Source organism: Homo sapiens, chromosome 1, assembly GCF_000001405.40.
Source record: "Homo sapiens chromosome 1, GRCh38.p14 Primary Assembly".
Taxonomy (NCBI): Eukaryota; Metazoa; Chordata; class Mammalia; order Primates; family Hominidae; genus Homo; species Homo sapiens.
This window is the reverse complement of record NC_000001.11, coordinates 84,478,927-84,506,888: the sequence shown is the minus strand read 5'-3', so window position 1 is coordinate 84,506,888 and position 27,962 is coordinate 84,478,927. Positions and strand designations below refer to the sequence as shown.

The 27,962-nt window shown below is 38.6% G+C and overlaps 3 protein-coding genes across 18 annotated transcripts in view, besides 6 other annotated features; 1 reads left to right on the top strand and 2 right to left on the bottom strand.

The window, feature by feature from the left end:
- SPATA1 (spermatogenesis associated 1) overlaps positions 1-503 on the bottom strand; it is a 60,994-nt gene extending 60,491 nt beyond the window's left edge. For all 16 annotated transcript variants that reach the window (XR_007057962.1, XR_007057965.1, XR_007057967.1 and 13 more), the window contains exon 1: positions 471-503. The gene's annotated coding sequence lies outside the window, so the exon portion shown is untranslated. The remainder of the gene's footprint in view (positions 1-470) is intronic.
- Positions 308-8,564, top strand: GNG5 (G protein subunit gamma 5). Its single transcript, NM_005274.3, has 4 exons — positions 308-453; positions 588-878; positions 4,919-5,063; positions 8,341-8,564. Exons 2-3 carry the CDS (start codon positions 798-800, stop codon positions 5,042-5,044), a joined length of 207 nt encoding a protein of 68 aa, NP_005265.1. The 5' UTR covers positions 308-453; positions 588-797; the 3' UTR covers positions 5,045-5,063; positions 8,341-8,564.
- Positions 583-662: a silencer, noted in NCBI's record as "silent region_1020". NCBI's record gives its function as "represses an Ori minimal core promoter by ATAC-STARR-seq in GM12878 lymphoblastoid cells {active_cell/tissue: GM12878}" and the evidence as "EXISTENCE:reporter gene assay evidence [ECO:0000049][PMID:35858748]".
- Positions 913-1,042: a silencer, noted in NCBI's record as "silent region_1019". NCBI's record gives its function as "represses an Ori minimal core promoter by ATAC-STARR-seq in GM12878 lymphoblastoid cells {active_cell/tissue: GM12878}" and the evidence as "EXISTENCE:reporter gene assay evidence [ECO:0000049][PMID:35858748]".
- Positions 2,702-3,207: an enhancer, noted in NCBI's record as "NANOG hESC enhancer chr1:84969365-84969870 (GRCh37/hg19 assembly coordinates)". NCBI's record gives its function as "activates a minimal SCP1, AML or CMV promoter by ChIP-STARR-seq in naive H9 embryonic stem cells {active_cell/tissue: H9 hESC(naive)}" and the evidence as "EXISTENCE:reporter gene assay evidence [ECO:0000049][PMID:30033119]".
- RPF1 (ribosome production factor 1 homolog) lies at positions 8,537-27,623 on the bottom strand. Its single transcript, NM_025065.7, has 9 exons — positions 27,380-27,623; positions 25,877-25,933; positions 23,894-23,974; positions 17,161-17,256; positions 16,417-16,570; positions 11,434-11,516; positions 10,826-11,007; positions 10,519-10,645; positions 8,537-9,460 (listed from the first exon to the last, which is right to left on the bottom strand). The coding sequence occupies exons 1-9, from the start codon at positions 27,605-27,607 to the stop codon at positions 9,419-9,421; spliced, it is 1,050 nt and encodes a 349-aa protein (NP_079341.2). The 5' UTR covers positions 27,608-27,623; the 3' UTR covers positions 8,537-9,418.
- Positions 12,744-12,793: an enhancer, noted in NCBI's record as "active region_1252". NCBI's record gives its function as "activates an Ori minimal core promoter by ATAC-STARR-seq in GM12878 lymphoblastoid cells {active_cell/tissue: GM12878}" and the evidence as "EXISTENCE:reporter gene assay evidence [ECO:0000049][PMID:35858748]".
- Positions 27,047-27,206: an enhancer, noted in NCBI's record as "active region_1251". NCBI's record gives its function as "activates an Ori minimal core promoter by ATAC-STARR-seq in GM12878 lymphoblastoid cells {active_cell/tissue: GM12878}" and the evidence as "EXISTENCE:reporter gene assay evidence [ECO:0000049][PMID:35858748]".
- Positions 27,402-27,962: an enhancer, noted in NCBI's record as "OCT4-NANOG-H3K27ac hESC enhancer chr1:84944610-84945170 (GRCh37/hg19 assembly coordinates)". NCBI's record gives its function as "activates a minimal SCP1, AML or CMV promoter by ChIP-STARR-seq in primed H9 embryonic stem cells {active_cell/tissue: H9 hESC(primed)}" and the evidence as "EXISTENCE:reporter gene assay evidence [ECO:0000049][PMID:30033119]".

The window sequence follows — 27,962 nt, the reverse complement described above, 5'->3', positions numbered from 1 at the left end:
CTTCACAATCTCCTTCAGAAAAACCGATTCAAGAGCTAAGAAGCCAGTAAAGTCAAACCTCGAGAAGATCCCTTCTCCAGCGAATCAGCGCCCCTGCTCCCCGCCCGCCCGGCTCCGCTGGGTACGCGACAGCGACCTCCGCGCCTGCTCTCCGCCTCGGGTCAGCGGGGCTGGGGGTTGGGGGTGGAACTGAAAATGCCTGTTGGCCAAACTCGGGTCACAGAGAGACACGCCTGTACGGGGCGGGGGTGTGCGGGTGACTCACGCCGGGTGCACAGTAGCTCCTACGCCTCACCCAGTATCTCCCCTCACTTCCCTCAACCCTTCCCACAAACTGGGAGGAAAACTGAGACCTCCTGGTCACCCGCCGCCGGGCCTTTTAGAAACTCCCACAAGCTCTGCCTTCCCTCCCTGGTCCTCTTCAGACCCCCTCTTAGTTCTTCGCGGCTAACGGTAAGCTCTCTCCTTACCTCTCCCTAATCGGCCCCTCTGGAGAGGAAAAGAAAACTTAAGAGTCGGGTCGCGCTAGCCTCCAGCAGCCGCCGCGCCCACCGACTGCTCCGCCCCTTCTCCTCCCCCTCCTCCAGGCTCGCGCTCGGGGCCGGGTGTGGAGCTGGAACAGAGGGCTGGCAAGGCGCGCATGCGCACCGAGGGTGGAGCCGCTGAGCACAGAACCGGAAACTTAGAGACAAAGTTCGGAGCCCCGCCCCCGCCGCGCGCCGCTGAGTTGTCTGGCCCCGCCGACCCACGGCCCACGACCCACCGACCCACGAATCGGCCCGGCCGTCGCGTGCACCATGTCTGGCTCCTCCAGCGTCGCCGCTATGAAGAAAGTGGTTCAACAGCTCCGGCTGGAGGCCGGACTCAACCGCGTAAAAGTGAGCGGGGGCGGGCGGCCGAGGCGGGAGGAAGGCGGCGGCGGCGGGTGGGATCCGGCGGCCCAGCTGGCGGGGGCGGGCGGGACACGCGCCGGCCCTCGCTTCCCCTGGAGAGGACGCGCGCTCAGCGGCGGCGATCGGGGAGCGGCCAGCTTTAGAGCAGGCGCCGCGTGGGTCTACGCTGTGTTTTAGGGGGACGATTAGTTCGCCCTTCCGCCCCAGGACTTTCCGAGGCGGGCTGGCCCCTGGGTTGAACCGTGGCCGACATTCCGGTCCTCCTCCGTCTCTACCTCCCTTGGCAGCCTTCTCGGCTGGTCTCACCAACAGCTGCGCCTCCGCGCGCTGTCCGCACCCTTCCTTTCCCACTTTGCCAGCCTCCTGTTTCTCATCGGACAGGGTATTTTCCGACTTTTGATTCAGAGCAGACTTTTCTCCCATTTGATCTTTCCCAAACCTACTTCCTTTAGTATTAAATTCTTACCTTCAACTTCTCTTGTCCGTTGAACACATACTTTTAAGCGAATTATTGCATAACTTAAACTGTGGATTGAATAAGCATTTTTCGAAACGATCCTGGAGTGTAAAGTTCCGGTCAGTGCCCCGTACAACCTCGAACAAAGCGTGCATTTCATACCTATGGCACAGTTTGCTCATATTTGACCTTGGGGATATCGACTGGTCCGCATGCCGGAGAAAATGATTATTGTGGGTAATTATTGGTCTTATTTTGGCGTCTGGTTAGTATTGGCCTTGTCTTGGGGTACTTTGGGAGAAAAAGCCTTTTGTCTGTGTTGATAGAATAACTTGACATTCAAGTGCTGTTCTAAGTATTTCCTGATTTTTACAGTCCTAAATGGATTGGCTTCTTTCTGGTACAATAGGTCAGGCTACATGTGAAACACTTCTGCAGTTAAAAAAAGAAACAAGAATGTAAATCATGTGCCCTGTTAAAAGCAGCCAGTTCCTAAGATGATTTGATTTTATACTCATCAGGCTAGTCTTTATTACTTGCCGAAATGTTTTGTGAACTGAGAGGGTCTCTAAGCTTTCTTAACTAGAAGTGTCAGAGACCTAGCTTACTCAGTTGTGGTCACCTCAGAAGGGAAGGGAAATTCTCATTCGTCTTGGTGCAGGATCCTCCTGAGAGAGAGTCTCCCATTTAGTTTTGTTAACTAGAAATGTCAGGGACCTAGCTTACTCAGTTGTGGTCAACTCAGAAGGGAAGGGAATTCTCATTCGTCTTGGTGTGGGATCCCCCTCACGTCCAGTCCTTGAAATGCTGTAGACCTCACTGCAGTTTGGAATCCATTTCTCTACTCTCCCAATTCTTACCTCATCACAGTGGTTTCTAGTCAGTCTTGGCTGGATTTGGCTCTGAAACTCGAAATCATTTATTTCGTAACCATTAAATGTCATTCAGGTGTGCCTTTATCATAGATAGGATGGACCAAGAAAAAAAAATGGGGGTGGGATAGTGAAAGCAATAAATTGTACATCTTTAGTCTCCAAAGAAAATGACATGAGGTTCTCAGGCTAAAATACTCCAAGAGCTTTACTTTGAAAACCCTAGCTGCTGCTCCCCTAATTCCCCAAAACTGATCCTACCTAAATCTTCAGTAGACTTCTGGTTCTGGTCGGGATCATTAAAGGCACCAGACATGATTTGGTTTTGGAGTTATTGCCTGATGTTAAGGCTGTAGCAAGAAGGGGAGCATCCCCTTTTGTACTTTTTAATGAGCTTTTCTTTAGACATGTTGCTAAATGTGGTTTAACGTTGTGTATCTGTTTTATCAATGACTGGGCTAGGTGATTTTTTTGTGAGATTTTTAAACTAGCACAATCTTACTTTTAACCTTTATGTGTGAGTACAATTGATAGAACTTACCATAAGTGCTTGACAAACTGTCATAGGTAGGTCAGGACATTTTTGAGAGTGAGAAGGGGCACTAATAGGCCAGGATTACAGGGTTTCAACCTCCTGGATGGTGATTGTTACAGTGCCTTAGGGGCTAGCAGCTTGTTCCAGTTTTAGAGTCTTTGTCTCAGCTTTCCTCACTGTTTGGAATGCTGTTTCTCACTGATGGTTATTTGGCTGGATCTCTTGTCATTGAGATCTCAGCTTCAATGTCACCTCAGACACCTTCCCTTAGGTGGGCACCCAGTCACCATCTAAAAGATTATTCATTTTACTACAGAGCACCTTGTCTGTCATTTTCTCTGAACTGTTAGCTCCATAACAACAGGGCTCTGGCTGTTCTTATGTATTCTTAGTGCCTGTAAGTATATGCGGCACATAGTGGTGCTTGAAAATTGTGAAAGCGAGTTACATTGGACCCCACCTACACTTTAAACAGAAAATTAACAGGTACTCTTTATGCTTCCTGCTGGTTAATATGAATGAAAACACTAAACACTATTACAATATTTGGTGAAAAATGACACCATTGTTCCCCTACTTTAGCTACACTTCTTTTGGAAGGCGGGGGATGAGGGGGTGTAGTCATTTGTAAAAATACTTCTTTTACATAGGAGCTAATAAACCTATGGAACTCATTACTCTGGACTGCTGTATAAGCAAAACACACAAATAGATTCGATAAGCGTTTAGATTCATCTTAGGATGAAGAATTATTAGGTTGGAGGTACAGCTGTAATCTGCAGGGGTTCTTGGTATAGAGAGCATTTGTGATGCTATTAATTCCCTGAGGCCACATATCCAGCTGGATGGACTGGACACCTGCTCCCAGCCTCCTTGCGGATAAAGACTGAGAATAAAATAAATGAGTATTTCTCCCACTTTTTAAATCTCAGTTCAAGACTTCAGATATTAGATGCATTTGGGGCATGTTTTAGTCATTCATGTTCCACGTCTGAACGGGTCCGTTAATGTTATTAAACTAGACAGTGACAGATTTCTGCCCAGTGTCACGTGACTGAAAGGCTGCTAGCAAACTTCAATTTAACAGTTTTTCTGAGCAGCCTGCCTTTAAGAAACTATTGCCTTAAATATGATTTAAGTGTTAATATACATATACAGAGCCACCCAAACAGGACTTAAGGAACTTCAATGGCTTTATGGTTATTTTGTTTATATCCTACATCACCTTAGCAGAATATATAGAAATAGTAGATGTCTAAGTGAATGAATGCATGCCTCTTTTAATTTGTTTTAGTTTAAATGCAAGACAGTATAAGGGTCTGATAAATTTGAGGATCAGTATACTGAATGCATTCTTAGTGTTGGCTTTTCTAAATTATGTGCTAGTTATCCCACATTATGTTCATTCACAGTAGCATTTTTCCAGTAATACTGCTTTCAAGACAAAGTAATAGTTTGCTAGAATGTTATTGCTTTTTGTTTAACCCTTAATGTTTTTAATAAGATGTTAAGTACCCTCAGGTTTGCACTTGAACAGCCTATTATTAATAAGCAAGATGTGCTACGCTTTGCAAAAATCAACATAATTCTACTGTTTGTACTCAGTCATCTGATGCTTCTAGTAACCAAGCAAAAGAAAACATACTTAATTAAATCAGTCTTATTTGCAAGCACTAGTTTTAAGTATTAAGAGCTCACTAGGCTGGGCGTGGTGGCTCACACCTGTAATCTCAGCACTTTGGGAGGCCGAGGTGGGCGGATCACGAGGTCAAGAGAGAGAGACCATCCTGGCCAACACGGTGAAACCCCGTCTCTACTAAAAATAGAAAAACTAGCTGGGCGTGGTGACGTGCGCCTGTAGTCCCAGCTACTCAGGAGGCTGAGGCAGGAGAATCGCTTGAACCGAGGCGGAGGTTGCAGTGAGCCGAGATCGCACCACTGTACTCCAGCCTGGCAACAGAGTGAGACTCCGTCTCAAAAAAAAAAAAAAAAAAAAAAAGAGCTCACTATTTGACTTAAGTCTTCAATTATTATATAGTATCTTCTTTTGAAGCAAGAGAAGTACTGTTTTATTGTAAGTACAATATTTCCAAAGATTGAGAAAACCTTCATTAAAATGTTCTCACCATCTGGCACTTCCCCCCCTCTTTGTTATGTATAGGTTTCCCAGGCAGCTGCAGACTTGAAACAGTTCTGTCTGCAGAATGCTCAACATGACCCTCTGCTGACTGGAGTATCTTCAAGTACAAATCCCTTCAGACCCCAGAAAGTCTGTTCCTTTTTGTAGTAAAATGAATCTTTCAAAGGTAAGTTTCCTTAAATTTAAAACAAAAACCCACACTGTAGGAATAACTAGTCTTCTCTTTCTTTGCAGCACTTAAAAGATCATCCCATGCCCTTTCCTTTGGCCCTCCATTTCCAGTATTTTTCTGTTTTGCAAGGAAAGTGAGGATTCATGAAACTTGCTGACTTAGTAGCCATGAAGGCTAATCGTTTCTATTTTACCATAAAGAAGGTTAAGTAGAGGATTTAATAACCATAAAGAGGGTATAGGAGAGTTACTACAAAATCCCACTGCCGTAACAAGCCATGTGTTACTTTTTAGAGCATTGGCCTAATGGAGTCCCCAAGTACTAGTTTTGTTTTTGTGTACCTGGCAAATATTTAGACAGTTTTTAAAAAATCTGCAATGTTTATGGGGATAACTTAAAGTACTACCAACTGATTTGGATTAACTCTTGATGTTATTGCTCTAACTGAACCCAGCTGTAGAGCAGTATAGCAAAGATTGGGAATTGGAAATGCAAGAGAAAGTCAGATGTAATTGAGTAAGCCAGTGTGGTAGAGGCGTTTGGACTGAGGTAGAACAGACTTTATATTTTGTTCTCATTTGTTAGATTAAAGATAAAACATGAAGGAAATGCAGTATATAAGTTCTTGGTGGCAAACAGACAGTGGACTGAATTTCAGAGAATTAAAAACTAAAGACCCTGTTGGCTTTATTAAAGCATGCTTCAGTACATTAATTTGTGCCTTCCAGATCAAATGTCATGTGTACAAAATGTATGTTAATCTAAGAGATGTGACCAAAAACGTTTTGGATCATTTAAAATGTAACTGAAGGGTGCTGCCTTTTATAAATTCTTAGTACTTTAGTTAGGGAATGTACTCATTAGTATTGACCTATGAGAAGCAAACTTAAACTAATAGTACTTTTTTAAAAAAGATTTTGTATATGGCACACACCCCTTACTAACTTTCTGACTTCTCCAAAGTCCAGGAAGCTGCTTCCTAAAATACCTTGTTACATAGTTGTGCCCTCCTTAATTAAGCTTCCTAGACCTGGGAGTGTCCAGGAAGTCTGTATAAGTACATGTTTCCAGTAAATACAATGATTGGTTAAGATGTTTAAGTTTTTTGAAATACCAGGGGGAAAAAAAGCCCTTTGAAAACAGGTGTCATGTGCACAAAAATGCACATGAAGAAGTAATTCACTTTCATATTTAACAGTTTATTATAATATCCTTTGTTTCTGGTACTATTCATTTAATTCTTCATGGTAGTTTTTGGAAGTTTCATATTTTTATGGTTTATTAATGATTGTTTTTTTAACCTCAGTTCTTGTATTCACTTTACAGTGGTTTATTTTCATTTGAATAAAATACTGGGCAGCTGTTAATAGTTTTACTTCATAGGAATCTACAGATAAGTGTTTAAATGAATTGCTCAAGTTTAAAAATATGGCTGGGGGTAAGAACCCAGAAGGTAAAATAATGTCTATTAATCCCAGCAGTATAAGAAAACAGCTTTGTGGATATTAAGATTTGCAGCAGTTTGGGCTAGGAGAATAATAATTGGGCATCAAAGCATTGCTTCTCAAGCTTGAATATATGCAAATCACTTTGTTAAAATGCAAATTCTAATTCAGAAGGTCTGAGGTGAGTCCCTAGAACTTGCATTTCTTACAACTGCCCACCTACACTGATGCTGACAGTACTGGACCTACACTGAGTGGCATGAATGTAAAGAATCTACATTGGAGTTATGTATATAAATACAGTTTTATCACTGGAGTGCAGTGGCGCAGTCTCGGCTCACTGCAACCTCTGCCTCCAAGGTTCAAGTGCTCCTGCCTCAGCTTCCTGAGTAGCTGGGATTACAGGTGCACACCACCACGCCCGGCTACTTTTTGTATTTTTGGTAGAGACAGCGTTTCTCGAACGCCTGACCTCAGGTGATCTGCCCACCTCAGCCTCCCAAAATGCTGAGATTACAGGCGTGAGCCACCGTGCCCGGCCCTGTATTTCCTTTTAAGAGGAAATTTTACTATTTTTTTTGAGATTCCAGCTTTTGAAATTTTTCCTCTTTTACACAAAACAAAATAGAATAACACAGGATTAAAAACTGTTAATCAGTAGAACATGTATGCACAAAAAAATGCAGATAAGACGACAGGCTTATTGACAGTATTCGCCGTTTTTCATTCTGCCTTTTTTAAATGAATTTATTTCATTAAATACTCTTTGTAAACAAGATATTTAATGGTTGTACTAAACTATGATGGAATTATACTTCACTGAATATTTAAGTTTCCAAAATTTGAGGTTACAGTGAGGTGAAGATTTTGGTGAACATCTATATATACTTAGTACCTCTATTAAGTTTCTAGAAGTAAAAAGGAGTGAACGTTTAACATTTTTACAACGTTGTACTTGATATCCCCTGCCAATATAATACTTTGGCCTTCCACTAGAAACATGAGAATGTTTTTTCCTTGAGTCCTAACAAACCTTAGTCTTTTCTGTCACTATTTTAGGTGAGATTAAACATTTTTCACAGCATTCTGTTTATGCCTTTTCAACATTTTTGTCACAGACTATCTCAGATTAACACTTTTGTACCTTTCCATATCAATAACTAATCCTAAAGTTAGTATGCTCATGTTTTAATTTTTTAGTACACTGTTTTTCAATTTAATGTTTTCATTTTTTAAATCTTTTAGTTTATACTCTATTAAACTGAAATATTATGGTTTGAAAACATAACTTATTTTTTAAGGCATAACTTATAATAGCTTTGTATTCCATCATATGTAGAAACCTTCGTTTATCCATTCTCCTACGGAGTTATATTTAGGCTGTTTCAGTTCTTTGCTGTTAAAATACTAATACAGTCAGTATCCTTGTACATGTTTCTCTATGTCTGGGTTTATCTAGGTAACTAGAAGTGTGGTTGCATCCTTTACTTCACTAGATACTGCCAAACTGCCCTGCTAAATATAGTCTTGCTCATTTTTCTAAGGATGTTTGGATTTTTGATTTAAGAGAGTTTTATTAACCTTTTTTATTATATACAGAATGTATTTTGGCAGTAATCTTAGCAAGTTAATCTGTAAGTCTGTTTATAAAACAGGAATGACTTATACATCAGAGTGGTTGTGAAAATTAAGGGAAAGATTTTACTGTTACTGGACCATAGGCATTTCCCATCCTGCTTCTTTTAAGTTATTCATGAAAAAAATTAAAAACTATGTTCTTTGATACTTTACCCTAACTCACCTTTTTTTTTTTTTCCCCATCTTAGGTTTCCCAAACCACTCCTTATGATCCAGTGAATATTCAAGAGAGCTACATTTGAAGCCTGTACAAAAGCTTATCCCTGTAACACATGTGCCATAATATACAAACTTCTACTTTCGTCAGTCCTTAACATCTACCTCTCTGAATTTTCATGAATTTCTATTTCACAAGGGTAATTGTTTTATATACACTGGCAGCAGCATACAATAAAACTTAGTATGAAACTTTTATTTTGCATTATTATTGGTATTAAATACATGGTATATTAATCTGTTCTGAACACCTGAAGGGGTTAAGTTTGTACAGTTTTTTCCACCTACTCTTCTCACATGACTTTATGCCATACATCTGGCAAGACTGCTAGGGAATTAAAGGTAAACTGTGAACCTTTATTCTTTTAAGGTCAGGAGGAGGCTGTTAAGTTCTACGGGTTTCCATCCATGAGTTACTTATAGGGTTAACTTTGTTTCAGTGCCTGAATGGAGTACTACAGCACCATGTAATGAGGTAAAAAAGAGCTCCCCACAACGTGGGCACAAAAAACCAAAAACCTCAAAATCAGGAAGCAAAGATTAGCTTCAGTAATTTGCAACTTTGCTTTAAACCCTGGTAGATCATTTTGCTTTAAATTTTTTACCCTTCTGAAGGCTTAAGAGAATGTTAAAACATCCAGAAACCTGGCCTCCATTTAAGCTATTAAAACTGTGCCAGACACTGGGAATCCAAGGTTAATCTGGTATAAAAATCAAGGGTTAGCCAATATTTACCAACCATTTTATTCCTCTCATGTGTTCTATGCAAATAGGAAAGTTAATCTGAATCTTGATTCCAACTTAATTATTCACAGTTACCCAAAAACAAGAGAACTAAGTTTAAGGAAACCTAAGCCATCAAAATAACTTTTATTTGTATTTTCTACATAAACACACAGTGGCAATTCATGGCATTTGGTAATTCGTCCAGACGTGAAAGGTTTATGAAATCAGCAAATGCCATTTTGAAAAGAGTATTCTGTCAAAAATAATTTACCAAAGTTCAAGATAGGCCTGTTCAGCAAAATCCAATATCATTCTCTCAGTACTTTATAAATGGAATTTTCTTCTACTTGTATCCATTTCCCGGGGCTGAAAGTGGAAAGCAAGGGAGTGGAGGAAGAAAACAAAACAAAAATATAATTAACAATTCAGGTAAGACAGTAAAAGTTAACGTCCCTAGATCTTCATAAGTAACACTAGTGCTGAAAAACCGGGTTTGTGCGAGACCCCGAATAGTCAGTCTTCGGTCTAATATAAAAGATGTTGGCAGTTACTGTGTGTGTGTGATTTTAAAGTAAAATGTTACTAAGTGAAGTACTGCTTATACTAGATAGAAAAGGATGTTTTAGGCCATGCACGGTGGCTCACACCTGTAATCCCAGCACTTTGGGAGGCTGAGGCAGGCAGATCATGAGGTCAGGAGATCAAGACCATCCTGGCTAACACGGGGAAACCCCTTCTCTACTAAAAATAGAAAAGATTAGCCGGTGTGGTGGTGCACACTTGTAATCCCAGCTACTCGGGAGGCTGAGGCAGGAGAATAGCTTGAACCCGGGAGGTGGAGGTTGCAGTGAGTCGAGATGGCGCCCCTGCACTCCAGCCTGGGCAACAAAGCTGAGACTCATCTCAAAAAAAACAAAACAACAACAACAAAAAAGTTTTCATTTATGATTTAAGATGATGATCTCCAAACTTCTAAGAAAACTTATCAATAGTTCTCAAGAAACATGTAGTAGAGTCACATATAACACAGGCTTATAAGCAGATTGCTGCTGGGTCCCACCCCCTAAATTGCTGATCGAGTAGGTCTGTGGGCCAAAGAATTTTCATTCCTAATAGGTTCCTAGGTAATGGTGCTGGTCTCGCTTTGAGAACCACTAATGTTTATACTTCAGATGAGCCAAGGTTAATCACCAGACCCAGATATTGTATCTTTTTTTTTTTTTTTTTTAGTTCAAGGGTATATGTGCAGGATGTACAGGTTTGTTACATAGGTAAACGTGCTATAGTGGTTTGCTGCACAGATCATTTCATCACCTAGGTATTAAGCCCAGCATCCATTAGCTATTCCTGATGCTCTCTCTCCTCCCACCCTCTTATCCCATACTTTAAAAATGACTTAGTCTTTTTAAACAATAAGCACATACCTTATGGACCCATTCATACTCTCCATATTTAGAATCAAAGGTTCCTTTCTGAAGAGACCTTAATTTTAAGGTAAAACGTGGTCCAAGTTCCTGAATTCCCACTTTCTTTTCACTCCTGAATATGTATCTTCAAAGACAAAAAGAGTTAAATTAGTCTGAATGAGCTATTGTTTAACATTATGACAGGGTTCAAAAGATAATTCATTTTATCTTGTATGATACTTGCTACAATATGTTGGAAAATTAGTTCATGTTGAAAATATATTTCATAATTGAAATCAAAGTTCAATGAGTTTACCTTCCTCACCTGTGAAATCTGAAGAATATGTAATCCCGTTGATTGTGGAATGTGGCAACCTGCCTTCCGATAAATTGAGGATTATGAGGAAAGAGAGATGCAAACATACGTCCAATTGAATGACCCAGCCGTGTTGTAAAATTATTCAGAATTATTTCAGGTATGTGTTCTGTGGGGTCCTTGCCTCTTCTCTAGAAAAATAATGAAAAATAAATATCACAATGGGCTAAGCTAATTGGCAATACGTCCCAATGCAATTTCAAGTATCAAAATTTACATGACAAATTTGCAAAATGTATTTTTTAGTGACAAACTACCACAGATGGCTTATCAAACCCATGAAATAAGATGTATCTAAAATTATTTTAATATGCACTGAATGCAACAACAAAAAAATCCTATTAGAAAATCAACGTGCTTCATAGTAATGAAGACTATTGCCTGCCGGCTGTAACTTAACCACAGTCTCCCAAGAGAATTGATAGATTAAAAACTGCTCTAATCAGGAGAACAAATGCCATTATTAAAATAAATTAGAGCTATAAGATACAGCATCTATTGATCAAATAAATATTGTGAAGAGATCAATGCCAATCAAAGAAATGTATAAAACTTACCTTAATTTCTTTACGAAGACGAACACTGCTCATTTTAAAATGAGCAGTTGGGCCATTTGGCAAGTGACTCAAAATAAGTCCATCTGTTCATAAAAGTTAAGAAAAACACATTGAACTCTGTAATCTAAATCTAATTGTTTAAATAACTGGTCCTCTACATCCAAAGGCCCCTAAAATCTGTACCCAAGTGAATAGGCAGATGTACATATTCCTCTGAAGTGACATTTTCCTACCATATCAAAAGCTCAAAATCAGTCAAAATCTTTCAAGAATATAGACTAACCTAGAGTAGTCCTTTTTTTCTCTTTTTACAATATAATAGTTAATCACGCTCAATAGGGTATCTTAAGGTACCCTAAACTAAAGTAGGTGAAAAAAAGCTATTTAATTGACCACTACTCTTAGGAGTAAAATAGGATGTGATTCTATAATCATGTAACACTGCAAATAGAGTATGAGTTTACCTCCACGTTCTAAAGATGTATAACCCCAAAATGTCACTTTTATACATTTGTATGGTCACGATATGCTGTCAACTTTGAATAACATCCCATGAGACCAGACTCCTAAACTTTCCTCTATGAAATTAAGGTTATTAGTATTTTGCAAGAGATCACCCCTTACTTAGGATTACTGTACCCCAAATTATAATCAACAAACCAATTAATAGCCATTCACTGACTGTCATTTCCCATGAACTGAGAATTATGCTAGACATGCTAAACTACAAATGAAATGTGAGATCACCTACCTACAACCAGCAGGACTAGCAGCCCAAGGACTCTAGAAGTCCTGGGTGCTGCAAACTAAGGTTGCTACCTATATAATATTCTTCAAGTTTGTGGCACAATCTGACCTTCACTTGAAACACCTTTACTTTTCATGAGTAATTCTTGGCTATTGCTTAATGGCATTACAAGCAGGCATATTAATGACAATGGACAGGGCTTTCACTTTGTATTATGCTTTTCTAGTTTAGGAGAAATTTTCAAACACATTTCATCTGATTCAACAACTTAAATAGGCCAGAATCAGATGGTTTCAAGTCTATCTGCATTTAATATGTATCTTTCAAAGCAGATGTTGCCATCTTTTTACAATGGCATCAACACTCATTCCTCCAGATTAGAAGCTATGGTATCTTCAGCTTCTCCCTCTCCCACCAAATCTTAACTGCTTTTACCTTCAGAAGTTCTCACTTAGCATCCTCTTTACCCTTACTGTCTTAGTGAGGTCCTCAAGATTTTCCACCTAGATTATTAAGGTAGTATTGTGGTTGGTCTGACCTTTTTCTCACCATCTCAAGTACATCTCCTAATGCAGATTGTAAAATCAAGTCTGGACTTAGGCCTTGGTTCTATAAGTAACCAGCTATGGGACTCAGCTGTTTCATTATATCTGTACCATAGTTTCTCACATGCTAAGTGAAAAACAAACTAGATACCTTCACAGTCTTGACAGCTGTAGCTAATTTCATACTACTCTCATCACAGACTCATCTACAGAAAAAAGACATTAGTATCAGACTCATAATGTGGCCACAAATTACCTTTTCAACCTATTTACCCTATGCCCACATCAAGCCTGTTTCCTAACTGGTAGGTACTCACAGTCTTATGTACTATATATGTGAATCCTAGCATGCATTTTTTGCTTCTGCTATTTTGAATACCTGCAACGTTTTACTCATCTATTATGGTCTACTTCAAATGTCACCTTTTTATGTAGTCAGAATTAAGATCTAAATCTTCTCAGTTCTGCTACCACAGCACTCATCACTTTTTGAGTTAGGAAAACACCTTTCTTCCCAACTAATCTGTTAAAACTTAGGTAGGGATGGGAATTTTTTTCTTTTGTTTTTTTTTTTTGAGACGGTCTCACTCAGCAGCCCAGGCTGAAGTGCAATGGCACGACCATGGGTCACTGCAGCCTCAACCTCTCGGGCTCAAGCAATCCTCCCACCTCAACCTCCCAAGTAAATGGGACTACAGGCATCATGCCCAGCTAATTTTTGTAGAGAAAGGGTTTTGCCATGTTGCCCAGGCTGGTCTCAAGCGATCCACCTGCCTTAGCCTCCCAAAGTGCTGGGACTGCAGGCAGATCTTTTTTTTTTTTTTTTTTTTGATAGTAGTGCCTACCATGCATCAGATTATCAGCAAACGTTTGAATTCTATCATTTTAAAAGATTCACCACAGGCTAAACTTCATGAAATACAGCCAAAAGTATTTATTAAGGGGTCTAGGAGATATAAAAGTCATTTCTTCCAACGCCCAAATCAAGGCTTAAATCCTTTCTAGAACATTCCCACTAAATTGTGGTCTGTGTCAAAAGCCAAGTACAAAACCCAAACTTACCAGTTTCTAAATAACTTCTTTTCCCATGTACCTGCATTGTGCAAGAGGCTTTATTTACATTACTGCTAATCCCTAACACAAATCACATAAAACAGGAGTCATCATGCCTATTTCAGTAATGAGGAAAAGAGGCTGAAGAGGGTCAAGTAAATTAGCCTAAGTAAATCAGACTAAGGCAACTGCAGATCTCAACCACGGTGGGACTGCACCTAGCTTAAGCCCCCTGCTGACAGCTGCTCACATTTGGAAATGTACAGAGGCATTTTGTTTGTCAGTATGACTGAGGTGTTACTGGCATTTAGAATCCAAAGGCCAGGAATGCAAACCATCTTGGAAGCTGCCAAGAGTGTAGCACAAATAATTACCCTACCTCAAATAACAGTAGTTCCCCATTTAGAAATAATGAATAGAGGATGTAGGTCTGTACAGATAAAGTTTACATGCTTCTCACTATACCACGTTTACTAAAATGCCTACCATGTGCCAGACACTATGCTTTATAAACATAATACATTTAATGTGATCTTTGTGGGAACTCTAAAGATAGGTATTATTTCCCACATTTAAAAAACGAGGAAATTGAGTGGCTAAGAAACGTGACTAAAATCACAAAACTAGAAAATAATGGAATCTGTATTTGATATCACAGCTGCCCTGACTCAAAGCCACTACTAGGTTTCTACAGTTTAGACAGCTGATGAAATTCTATTTTAGAATAAGTCAAAAAAGTATATCCCTTTAACTTTCACCATTCAGCACTACTCTTCCACACAGTAGCCCCTCCAATGGTCTTTAGAAAGACGCCATGTTCCTAGAATCTACTTTCCCACAGGCTAAATCCTGTTTTTTCAACTTTCCCCCCATGTGTCACCATTAGGAGTTGTGATTTTTATTCCTGAACCCATGCTAAGTCTCTAGGATAATCACCATTTTTTTTTTTTTGACAGAGTCTTGCCCTGTCACCCAGGCTGGAGTGCAGTGGCACCATCTCTGCTCATGGCAACCTTTGCCTCCCGGGTTCAAGTAATTCTAGTGCATCAGCCTCCCAAGTAGGTGGGATTACAGGCATGCACCAACACGCCCAACTAATTTTTGTATTTTTAGTAGAGATGGGATTTTGCTGTGTTGGCTAGGCTGGTCTCAAACTCCTGACCTCAAGCAATCTGCTGGCCTAGGCCTCCCAAAGTGCTGGGACTACAGGTGTGAGCCACCGCATCCGGCCAGAAAATGTAAACTTTTTAAAGGCAATAGATGGTATAAGTGAAATTTGTGTGACTATATAAAACACCCTGGATAAAACAGGGATAGAACATTTATTGAATTGATGAATGCCTGCTTCTTAGCAGAGTTACTAGTGGCCTCAAAGTGATGACAGTTGTTTTTTAACTGCCAAAAATAAAAAGAGGAAAACAGACCTTGCCACTTTGTGGAGGCAGTTTAAAAAAAGAAAAAGAGGCAGCAACTACCTTAAAAATAATTTTTTTCTGGAGTAGTTAAGTATTCAAGAGATTTTAGATATTTTGGTACATTAATCCAGTTAAGCCAAATTATAATATGGCCAACAAAACACATTACAAAGCTTGTTATAGTAGTTTCTGGAAAGCTACTAGTACAAGTGGATAAAGTAAGTTATATTGATAACAATTAAAGTCATAAAAGTTAGATTTTTTAAAAACAGCCTTTTAAACCACTAATAGAGTGTTCACTGATATTAGAAATAAAATGTTATTCTGGCAGCACAGAAAGTCTTGTCCCTATTTTGTAAATTCTTTATAATTTTATTTTAATGAAATTAAAAATCATAAAGATGACTCATTCAATTGGTCATCTTTAAGGTTACTGAACTCATAGCCATCATTCAATAAATAAATAAATAAAACAGCAACAATAATAACAAACCTAGATATCCTTTATCAAATCTCTTATCTCAACAGGAAGAAATACCTTGGGTTCAGGTGACACATTCATCTCAGGTCTGAGACTCACAGAAAAAGTTTTAGACTGGAACACACACATAACATGGGCCCAAGTCTCTACCTCAAAAACTTAATCCTGTGATACCACCTCTGGCAATGTAAAATCTAGCCACAACAAACCATATGCAGATCCCCAACTAGGTCAGCCCTTTCCTTCCTCTCTTTCCAAATGGTAGTCCCTCTGCACTGAGCGCTTTTCTCTGCCTTATTCCCCTCCTTCACCCTCATCCATCTAGATCCAGCTTCAGCATCTCTTTCTATGGGAAGTCTTTCCTCCCAGGGCAGACTTTGTACCAGTCACAGGGTCCCCACTATATCCTGCATTTCTCTATTTAATTGTACCATCCACACTATATTTTGTCAGTTTACATATCCATTTACTCCACCTATGAATTTCCTGGTTGTCTCTTGTTTTAGCTCTGCATCTTTTACTAAGAGTTACAACAATCTCTTGGCTGTAGCATGTGCCTGATAAATGTTTGGTGAATACAAAGGAAAAATCAGTTTATAGACTCTTGGAAAGAGATACAATTTTCTGATAAAAAAATTATTTTCTGAAAGTTATAGGCAATATTTCCTTATTCTTTTAAATATATTTTTAAGGGGGGTGAGGGAGAGGACAGGAAAACCTCCTTAAAAAAAAAAAGGATACTTGGGGTTTTACGATCTTCATTAATAACAATCAGGTCTGTGAAATCTCTTGCGATGCACTGTGGAATAATTTTTTTCAGAGCCAGTCCTCTTCTGTAATAAACATGTGAGTTTGGTATAACTGTGGAGAGCTGTTCACAGAGTCGTACTGTTCTCTGCAAAACAAAATAACAAAAATTTTGAATAGTTTTCAAAAAAGAATAAAAATCTTATGTGGTACATATTCATAAGGAAAGAAATAATAATTATTATGATTAATAGAAAGCAACATTGAGGAAAGCATGAAACTCGAACAGTGTGTCCTCTTTTATCAAAGGCTGATCATCCTAAAGCAGTGGTTCTCAATTAGGGGCGATTCTGCTCCATCAGAGGACACATTTGGCAATGTCTGGAGACATTTTTGATGGTTATGACTGATGGTAGTGGTAGTGGTGTGTGGTTGCTACTGGCACCTAAAGCATAGAGGCCAGGGAAGCTGCTAAACATCCTGTAATGAACAGGATAGCTCACCATAACAAAGAATTCTCCAGCTAAAATGTTAACAATGTTGAGGTTGAGAAATCCTATCTTGAAGAATCATGTTTAGTAAACCTACATCATATTACCAGAGCTACGTTTTATTTACTTAGTCACAGGCATTCTTTAAGGCAATTAACTAATGGTTTAACTCTTCTGAACAGAGTACTTTAAATAGAAGTAATAAGAAAATTAAGAATTCAAGAACTAAATTAATCAATGTGTTTACCCCATGAGGTCTATCTGATGTTGTGATGAGAATCTTGGGAGAAGTCTGTTTGTTGAAGTAAGAAGCAAATTCATCTGTAGCTTCATCATAAGCGACCTGAGAACAGAGAAGAGGAATAATTTTACATCAAAGAAATACTCTACTGGGCCAGAATTCTAAAAGTAGCATCAGCAGGACTGTTGGACACTGAGTATCTAGCTGATAGGGGCTTTAAAGACAGACTAGGAAGGACTGACATTAATGGACACGTGAAGAGAATGGATGAGTGGATTTCTCCTGTGTAAAATACAAGTACAAAACTGAATAAAATTGTCAGAAATCACTTCAGGGCAGAAACTGAGATGTGTTTACTCTTGAACTACTTTCATTTCCCTCATCAACTTGGTTAGTAAAAACAATAACCACAAAAAAAACAAAACAAACAAACAAAAAAAGAACCAAAAAAAACTAATGAAATTACGAGAAGACAAATCTTCCATTGAGAGACACTCAGATTTAAACATTAATGAAAGTAGTACCTTTTAAAATTTGTGGAATATACCAAAAGTGGTAGTCTGAAAGAGTTTTATGGCTATACCTGCTCATATTAGAAAAAATATATATTGAGCAAATCAATAAATACAGAATAAACTCAAAGGAAGCAGAAGAAAATAATAAAGATAAAAGGAGATATAAATGAATTAGAAAACAAAGATTCAACAGGATCAAAGAAGAAAGTACTCAGAAAAGACTAAGAGAATAGATATCTTGGTAAAAACTGATTTAAAAAAGAGAAAAAGCCAAAATAAAATAATATTAGGAACGAAAAGTGGACATTACTGTAGTCTCACTCATGAACACAGATATAATTAATTCTAAGCAAAGAATTAATAAATCCAATTTGGTTATGATGTTTAATGCAGTAAGAGAAAAGCCACATAATCACCTCAATATTTGCAAAGAAAACATCTAATAACATTCTACATTCATTCATGACAAACAAAACAAAACAAAATCATAAGAATAAGTAAAATTTACTTAACCCTTAACTCATAATAATCTATCTCTAGTGACACAAATATTAATGTTGACTCATTGGAAGTATTCTTTTGAAAATCAGGAACGTGGCAAAGATGGCACTGTTGATTTTTCTATTTATTTGACATTAGGCTAGAAGTTCTAGAAGGCACAAAAATGGGAGAAAAATGGGTCAAAATAAGAAAACTGTCATTTGCAGAAATGGTTATCTAAACAGAAAAATGAAAACGATATCCCAACAAATTAGAAATGAATTTAGGTAGGCTACTGGTTAGAACATCACTATTCAAAAATCCATTGCATTTTTATAAATTGGCTAACAAAACAATTTTCAAAGACATGCAGTTTACACCAACAAAAACTGTAAGATATCCAGGAATAGCTCTAGCAAGATTTATGTGTCAACTTCCATGAAGAGAATTACGAAATACATGAAATACATTTCACTATTTAAAGGAGACCTAAGTAAATATATATTATATACATACATACGTATCCCCAAATTGATCTGATTTAGTGCCATTTATAATTTATATGGAGGAGCAAAGGCCTAGGAAAAGCCAAAACACATCTGAAGAGAGGGGATTTAGGGGCAGGAGTGAAAGAAGCATTTTGCCCTTATAGATATGAAGCCTTATTATGAAGCTAAATAATTAACTAATGATGCAGTGACAAACTGACGAAGCAAATAGCCCAGAAAAAGACCAAGCATATATAGATATTTGATATATATCATGGCATTACAATTCATTGTGGGGAAAGGCTGCACTACTCCAAAAATATAACTACTGGTTATATATAACCAGTACTGGATAAACTGGTTATATATAAATGAACTGTTAAGAAGTAGAACACAGAATTGTAAGAGTACATTAAAACTAATTCAAAATATATATATGCAAAAGGACAGGTTGGGGAGACAGGAAGGAAAGTAACTGGTTTCCATTCTCACACCAAACAGAAAACAATTCCTGACAATCAAGCAAATAAATACGAGAGGCAACTCTTTAATTATTTTAGAAGGAAAGAAGAACTTATGATCACAGGAAAGAGAAAAGTTTCTTAAATATTACATAAAAAGCTTTAAGTGCTAATTTTTCAAAAACTCAACTACATCAAGAACTTCTGGTCCTGGTCCTCAAAAGACACCATAGAAAATAAAAAGAGAATTCATGAATTGGAAGATTTCTTTAATATGTATGAAGAATTGGTATCCAAATTATATAGAGAAGTTCCACAAATGCGTAAAATATACTACATGATAGAAAACTGGGCAAAAGACATGAACTGGCTTATCTCTAAAGAAAACAACTTATATTAAATGATGCTCAACATTAGAAAACAAGGAAATACAAATTCAAACCACAATGAGACAGCCTTTTATCATTAGTCTGAACATACCATGAGTTGGTTAGAATGTGGATGAGCAGGAACACTACTCTTGTACCACAAAAGTATAAAATGATACAACCACTACTTTGAAAAATATTTTGGTACAATTATGTAAAGTTAAACATTTACACATTCCATGACTCAAAATTATCCTACTGTAGGTAAACATTCTAGGGAAACCTTTATGTACACACACCCTTGATATGCCTGTTACCCCCAAATTTATCTCAAGACCTCTTTCCTGAATTCCAAGCTCACATCCCAACTACCTGCTTGACATCTCTTCTAAAAACTCTTGAGTCATCTCAAACATAATATATGCAAAACTGAACTCTTGATTTCCCCTTAAATCTCCTTCACTCAGTCTTCCACATCTAGTCAATGACCATTTCATCCTTCTAATTTGCTCAGTCTAAAACCTTAATACCATCTCTGAATCCTCTATTTATCTCATATTCTGCATCCAATTTGTCAGGAAATTGAAGCAGCTCTGATTTCAAAATATACCCAGGGGAAAAAATATTTAGAATCAGATCAATTCTCACCACTTTCATTGTAACTACCCTGGCCCAGGTCATGATGAAAGCCCATCATTTCTTTCCTGGATTTGTTTAGTAGCTTCCTTTCTCTACTTACCTCTCCAGCTACATTCTCAGTAAAGCAGCCAACTACTTCTAAAAATTAAGTCTGATCACATCATTTTCCTATTCTTTTTTTTTTTTTTTTTTTTTTGAGACGGAGTCTCGCTCTGTCGCCCATGCTGGAGTGCAGTGGCGCGATCTCGGCTCACTGCAAGCTCCGCCTCCCGGGTTCACGCCATTCTCCTGCTTCAGCCTCCCGAGTAGCTGGGACTACAGGTGCCCGCCACCACACCTGGCTAATTTTTTTGTATTTTTAGTAGAGATGGGGTTTCACCACGTTAGCCAGGATGGTCTCAATCTCCTAACTTCGTGATCCACCCGTCTCGGCCTCCCAAAGTGCTGGGATTACAGGCGTGAGCTACTGTGCCCGGCCACGTCATTCTTCTATTCTAACCCACCCAGTGGCTCTTCATTTCACTAAGTATAAAACCAAAGTCCTCATACCGGCCAACAAAGTCACTGATCTGGTCTTTCTTCTTCATCATACTTTCCTAGGACCTCTTCTACAATTCTCTCCCTTGCTTGATTTCAGTCACAATGGCCTCCTTGTTATTCTTAAAAAGCATATTCGATACACTCCTGCCTTGGAGCTTGTGCACTGGGTGTTCTCTCATTCTGGGGCTCTTTTTGCCCAAAGATGGCTAATTTCCTCACATCCTTCAAGTCTTTGCTAAAAGGTCAATTTCTCAATAAAGCCTACCCTGACTTTCCTATATAAAATCACTACCCAGTAGACAAATGGGCAAGAGACACAATCAATCAATCAAGGGGAAAAAAATATGAAAAGATGTTCAACCTCATTCAAAATGAGAACTGCAAATTAAAACTACAGTGATATACAATTTCTCACTTATCAAACTGGAAAAAATGATTTACAATGAGTGTTAAGTTGAGGAGTAACATTCAAGTTATCTCCTCCCCAAATACTTACTAATTATCATACAAAGGGAAAAACAGTAAATTCAGAGTGGAGAAACCTGGCAGGCACCACCTTAACCAAGTGATCAAGGTAAACATAACCAGTATGAGAAAATTATCAGGTGACTCTTGGTAAGAAGTACTGAAAAAGGACTTAACATAATATTCATGGCACAGGTTAGCCTCCCTAATCCAAAAACACCCAAAACCTGAAATATTCCCAAATTCAAAACTTTTTGATAAAGCACCAACATGGCGCCACAAGTGGGGAATTCCACACCTCACCTCATGTGATGGGGTCACAGTCAAAAGTTTGTGTCATGCACAAAATCATTAAAAATATTGTATAAAAGTTACCTTTACGCCAGGTGGGGTGGCTCATGCCTGTAATCCTAACACTTTGGGAGGCCAAGGTGGGAGGATCGCCTGAGCTCAGGGGTTCAAGACCAGCCTGGGCAACATGGTGAAACCCCATCTCTACTAAAATACAAAAAATTAGCTGGGTGTGGCAGTGTGAGCCTGTAGTCCCAGCTATTCCAGAGGCAGCAGAATTGCTTGAACCAGGGAAGTGGAGGTTGCAGTGAGCAGAGATTGTGCCACTGCACTCCAGCCTGGGCAACAGAGCGAGACTCCATCTCCAAAAATAAAAAAGTTACCTTTAGGCTATGTGTATAAGATGTATATGAAACATAAATAAATGCTGTGTTCAGACTTGGGTCCAATCATCAAGATACCTCATTATCTATCACAAATATTCCAAAGCCCGGAATCCAAAAAGACTTCTGGTCTGGCTAAGTGCGGTGGCTCACGCCCGTAATCCCAGCACTTTAGGAGGCTGAGGCAGGTGGATCATGAGTTCAGGAGTTTGAGACCAACCTGGCCAACATGGTGAAACCCTGTCTCTACTAAAAATACAAAAATTAGCTGGGTGCCTGTAATCCTAGCTACTTGGGAGGCTGAGGCAGGAGAATCGCTTGAACCTGGGAGGCAGAGGTTGCAGTGAGCCGAGATCATGCCACTGCACTCCAGCCTGGGTAACAGAGCAAGTCTCCACCTCGGAGAAAAAAAAAAAAAAAAGACTTCTGGTCCCAAGCATTTCAGGCAAGGGACACTCAACCTGTATTTCTGTCAAAAGTACATAAACTGAATATAATCAGAGGAAACCCCAGGCGAACTCATATTAAGGTACATTCTATAGAATATCTGGTCTATACTATTCAAAAAATCTCAATGTCACAAAAAGCAAATGACTGAGGAATTGTTCTAAATTTAAGGAAGTTAAAGAGTAATTACAATGGAATGTATGACCTGGGACTTTTTTTTTTTTGCTAAAAAGGACATTATTGGAACAGCTAGTGACATCTGAGTAAGATCTATAGAACAGATAATATTGAATACCAATATCAATGTCTGATTTTGCTAACTGTGCTCATAAAAAACAAAATGAGATATATAGGAATAAAGGGGCGCCATGTCTGCCACTTACTCTTATTTAAGAGGGAATATTTAGGAAGTCTGGGTGAAGGGTATGTACAAATTCCTACTTTTCTATTAAGTCTGAAATAATGTCAAAATAAATTAAAATGCATACACACACAAACACCTTACTTACATAAAATTGCAAACCCTCTCTACTCCAGGTAGTCCTGAATCTCCTTTATCCTATTTTCCTTTAGTAAGCTATCACTGGCTAACATATGTCTAACTTATTTATTTCATTATGTTTACTGTTTGTCTCCCTTCCTAGAATGTAAGCTCTGGGTGGGTAGAAGTTGTGTGTGTGTATGTGTATGTGTGTGACTATTCTGTGTACTGATGGATCTCAAATCCCTAAAACAGATCCCAATACGATGCAGGCAAATCCATAAACATTTGCTGAAAGAATGACAGAAATCAGTGTATGACTATACCAGGAGATATGAGAAAGAATGTTGATAGCAGCACTGTTTCAAAGCAAACAGACATTCGAAACCAAATTTCCTTTACAAAACTTTTAAAAATATAGTTTTAAAATCTTGCTTCTTTTTCTGCACTGTTGCCAACTATCTAAGGAGAATATGCAAAGTGAAAGATTATCTTGAAACTAAGATTTATGAGAATACAAAAAATAGCATCAAATGTTATTCTTAGGTATCAAAATGTCTAACAAATACTACAAAAGTCGATAGTACAAGGAATTCTTTTAAAACCACCAGGCCAGGCGCAGTGGCTCATGCCTGTAATCCCAGCACTTTTGGAGGCCAAAGCGGGCGGATCACCTGTGATCAGGAGTTCGAGACCAGCCTGGCCAACGTGGTGAAACCCCATCTCTACTAAAAATACAAAAATTAGCCAGGCGTGGTGGCAGGTGCCTGTAATCCCATCTACTCAGGAGGCTGAGGCAGAAGAATTGCTTGAACCTGGGAGGCAGAGGGTGCAGTGAGCCGAGATCACACCACTGCACTCCAGCATGGGCGACAGAGCAAGACTCTGTCTCAACAAAATCAAAAACAAAAACAAAAACAAAACCCTCCAAAATACCATTCAGGGATTATATGACAAATGTAAAAGTTTACCTAGAATTTTTATAGAATTTTTCTATAGCATTATTGGGAAATTCAATTATGAAATAGTCTTCACCAAATAATAAGATAATATGCCAACATTTTAGCTGAATCAGTCCATTATGCAACTTGGCCAGCCAGCACTTTAAATATCAACAAAAAAACATATAATTTATCAATTATATGTGATCATTCAAACTAATTTAAGACTTCTAACATTACCTCTTCATCATTAGGGTCTACTGTGGTTTCATCATACACTCGCTGGTTGTCAATGGTCTTGGGTACAGGCTTTGGTGGAGCCTAAGTAAAAGAGAAGGGATTACATTTTAGAAGGATTTTACATTAATTATATTACTGTTGGAGAAAAATAACAGAAAGCTACAAATAACCCCAAACTCAATCTGTTCCTCATATCAATCCACTTCTATTGCTACATCAATTCTAATAACAATATTGAATAAGAGGCTTTTTTTTTTTTTTAAACAATCTGGGCAGAGACACACACATACTAGAAGAATGGCCAACACTGAATGAAAAGGCTTAAAACTGTGCAGAAGTAACAAGGAGAAGAAATAGAGATCAAGATAGTTATCTACTAGGGGGAAACACATCAAACAGGAGAAAAATAAAAGAAAAAAATAACAAAGCGACATCCGTACATGACTTTGTTCCAATACTTTCAGGAAGCTACTCAGAAATATTTAACAAAAGTCTAGTTGTTATCCATTGACCTAGTAATTTTACTTTGGGGTATTTATGTTCAGGAATGTAAATGGGGGAGAAATTTGAACGAAGAAATACATAGTATCCCTATTTATAATGCAAATAAACAGCAAACAGGGCAAATGTTCAACAAGGTAATGACTAAACATACTACAGTACATCAACATTATGGAATACTGTTAGGATCAGCAATCATGCATACTCAGCTTAGACCAAGAAATGGTGTAAATGAATTGCTAAGAAGTAGAACACAGAATTGTAAGAGTACATTAAAACTAATTCAAAATATATGTACACTAGCAGAGCTATGAAGAAAATACAAACTGAAACTAGCATTTATTACTCTATGAAACAAATATTACATTTTAAGCATTTTTTAAAGGAGGCAATTTTAAGAAGTTATCTTTCATCTCAAAAAACAAGAATGGTGGTGTTTTCAAATGGTGATCATAACATTAATTTGCTGTAATAGACTGATTACAAAAGAATTAAAAAGAGACTAACATGCTTGACATACTAGGATACTGCAGGTCAAAACAGTCTACTATTGACAATTTTCTATGGTTTAACCTAATACTATTCAAAGAATGTATGAAATAGTAGAGTGTTTAGTTTGTATACTGTCTTTACATTTTTTTCCCTTCCTCAAACACCCTTATTTGGTAACTTACTTGAATGGGAGGCGGAGACATGAATGTTTTCAAAATTTTGCAAAAATAAATCACAACCTAGGAGTAACTATAAATACACTGAAAATAAAAATAACTTAGCTATGCAATAATGTATGAGCATTTAGTAGTTTAAAAAATTTTTTCAATAAAGATTTCACTTCTTATGAGTACCACAAATACAGCCAAATTCTTTCTTGATGCATTATCTGCTCTTTTCTCTGCCATAATCCTCACCGTCCTCCCACTCCCCATTCTCACTTTTCACAGGTTCATATCCTCTGTACCAGCTCTAAAGCTTAACACACCCTTATCACCCTACTCCAGAAGAGGATCTGTCCTGCCTTTCCCCAGCCTTGCCTGACCAAAAATCTTTGCTTCACATGACAAGAGCCAAGCTCCAGGCCTAACCTGGGGGAGCTTCCCCATTCCCAAAGTCAGGGAGAGGTGTTGACCTCTGAAACACAAAGTTATATGCAAAATACCACCACTGTGTTACCGTATAGGTACACAAACATACACAGTAAAGGTAAAAGAAGTGCATGGAAAAAATAATCAAAAATTTCACGAGTGGTTATCTTCGGAGGGAAAAGCAATTATGAAGCAGACGAGGGGCTTCCAACATTCTTTGCTAATGCATTATTTCTTAAGCTGGGTAAATGATACAAAGAGGTTTATTATATTACTTTTGTATTTCTTCATACATCTGAAATACGTAATAATAAATTTTAAAAGAAAGTAATTCAACTTAAATATCAGGAGGGATTCCCTAATATAAGATAGAAAGCAAACAGCTAAAAATTTTATTTACCTTATCGCCAAGAGCCTCTCTTTCTTTTTTAAGTTTTTTCTTAGCTGCCAACTTTTCCTAAAGGGTTAAAAAAAAAGAGAACAATACTGAGAAACAACCAGTTATATCACAAACACATACTGAAACTACAAATTACTAATGCTATGAATACTCGAACTGGGCGGTCTTTGTAATCTATTGAAATAAGCATCTGGACGTGGAGTTTTCTACCTAAATTACTGTAAGCCAAATGAGCTGGCCAATCAATAAGATTTCTTTAACAAAGACCTGCTCCTTTAAAAAAATCTAAACTGGCAAGTTTGAACATTTAAAATTTGAGTAGCTTAACCTTTTTCCATAAAGCCTCAAATTAATTAAAGTATGTGATGGTTTCCACTGTGTTTTGTTTTGCCTAACTGGTGGCATCCTAAAGACGACCATGGTTATGCTGCTTGCTTCTCTTGAAAAGCACTAAAAATAGGAATGGGAGCTGAGTTTTCAGGTTGTTTTCCATAAAACCATCACCAGTTATTCACATATTTTATAATCAAAATATACTTCTAAAATTTAGTAAGAGCTTGCAAGGTGGCTTAAGATTATCTGTATTTGTATTGTCAATCTATATATTCTTCTGGAGATTTCTAGATAGAATGCTTGACAAAATAAAAAATATTCTTTTTTCCCCAGCACCTACTGATCCTCAATCCACCAGGTTTCAGATTAGAAATCATAGCTCCAATAAGTCTTCCAGGACATCCCTCCCCAATACGTGCATACCAGAATGAGTTAAACGCCCCTTGTATGTATTGAAACAGCACCTTGACACTGAACATGAGTAAGAACCAGTCCCGGGCCTCAGAAGGGCCAGTAAGAGGAGGCAGACACATAATAATAATATTGTGTGAACTTCTACGATGTGCAAGAATAAGCAAACGTTTTCTTCCAATTGCAATTTAACCAGAAATGAGCACTGCGACCTTGACAAGTCGTTTAAACCTCTTTACGTTTCAGTTTGTTTACCTACCAGAAACGTATAAGGATAAAGCTGAAAAGAACAAATACAATTACCAGAAACTTTACAGTACTAATTTCGGTAAGGAGCTCCTGCAGGAATCAGAGAAGCAGTATTTTGGATTTATTACGTATTGCCTCCATTTCAGATTCTGCAAATTAACCAACGCTACCTAGACGGACCAAAGGGCTGAGACTTTTGCCTTCTGGGCCAGGAGGGCGTAGTTTTCACTACTAAGCCAACTGGCCTTACAGCTTTCCTTGTGAATCTAGCGTCCCAGGAAAGAGCCTATCAAGATAATCTTCCACCTTGACGCTCAGGCAAAAGGCTGAACCTAGAGTCTCCAAACTAGGGCGAGGGGACCAGAACACGTGGGCCGCGACGCCACCCTTCCCACGGAGCCACAGAGAACACTTTTGAGACCAGCAGACAACCACAGATGTGCGCCCCGCGACCGCCCTAAGCGTCAGGAACAACGCGCAAGCGCCCGGCAGCCCCCGCCTCTCGCGTACCTTCCGCTGCTGCTGTTTCCACCGCGTGAACATTAAGTGTCGCCGCTGTTTGTTTTTAATCTCCGAAATGCTAAAGCCTGGCGGAAAGGCAGCCGCTTTCGGGGGTTGGACCCCGTTTTCCGTCGCCCCATCCCCAGCGCCTGCAGCCTCCTGAAGTTCTTCGGCAGCGGCTTTCCGTTTTAGACTTTTCTTCCCGCTGCTGCTGCTCTTATCCCCGGCTTTCGCCATGGTCTTGGCTCCTTTGCTTCCGTACGGAAACGGAAATAGCCTTCTCCTGTGACCCCCTTCCTTAACCTTTTACTTCCGGGGTCGCAAAGTTTTTGACGCTAGATGTGTTTTGTGAGTTTTAGCCATTCAAGAAAATAGTAAAGCTGAGGCTTGAGGAAACTTTAGGCAGTTTGCCCAGCTGTATAAAGAGTGAGATGATGAGTTTGGGCACTCCTTGCGCATCTATGTGCCCAGCCCTCAAAATAATGGAACAACAACAAAAACCGTGCCTGGATTAGTTTACGTTTTACTTGAGGGAAACCTAAAATGAGCATACAAATAAATTATGGTGAGCTACAGAGTAAGACATGGTATG

What these genes read in the sequence shown, in the direction of transcription:
- GNG5 (NM_005274.3), top strand. Translation starts at nt 798, where the DNA reads ATGTCTGGCTCCTCCAGCGTCGCCGCTATGAAGAAAGTGGTTCAACAG. An exon ending in CCGGACTCAACCGCGTAAAA is followed by an intron (nt 879 to 4,918) that starts GTGAGCGGGGGC and finishes TGTTATGTATAG; the next exon opens with GTTTCCCAGGCAGCTGCAGA.
- RPF1 (NM_025065.7), bottom strand. Translation starts at nt 27,607, where the DNA reads ATGGCGAAAGCCGGGGATAAGAGCAGCAGCAGCGGGAAGAAAAGTCTA. An exon ending in GGAAACAGCAGCAGCGGAAG is followed by an intron (nt 25,934 to 27,379) that starts GTACGCGAGAGG and finishes TTAACCCTTTAG; the next exon opens with GAAAAGTTGGCAGCTAAGAA. An exon ending in TAGACCCTAATGATGAAGAG is followed by an intron (nt 17,257 to 23,893) that starts GTAATGTTAGAA and finishes CTCTGTTCTCAG; the next exon opens with GTCGCTTATGATGAAGCTAC.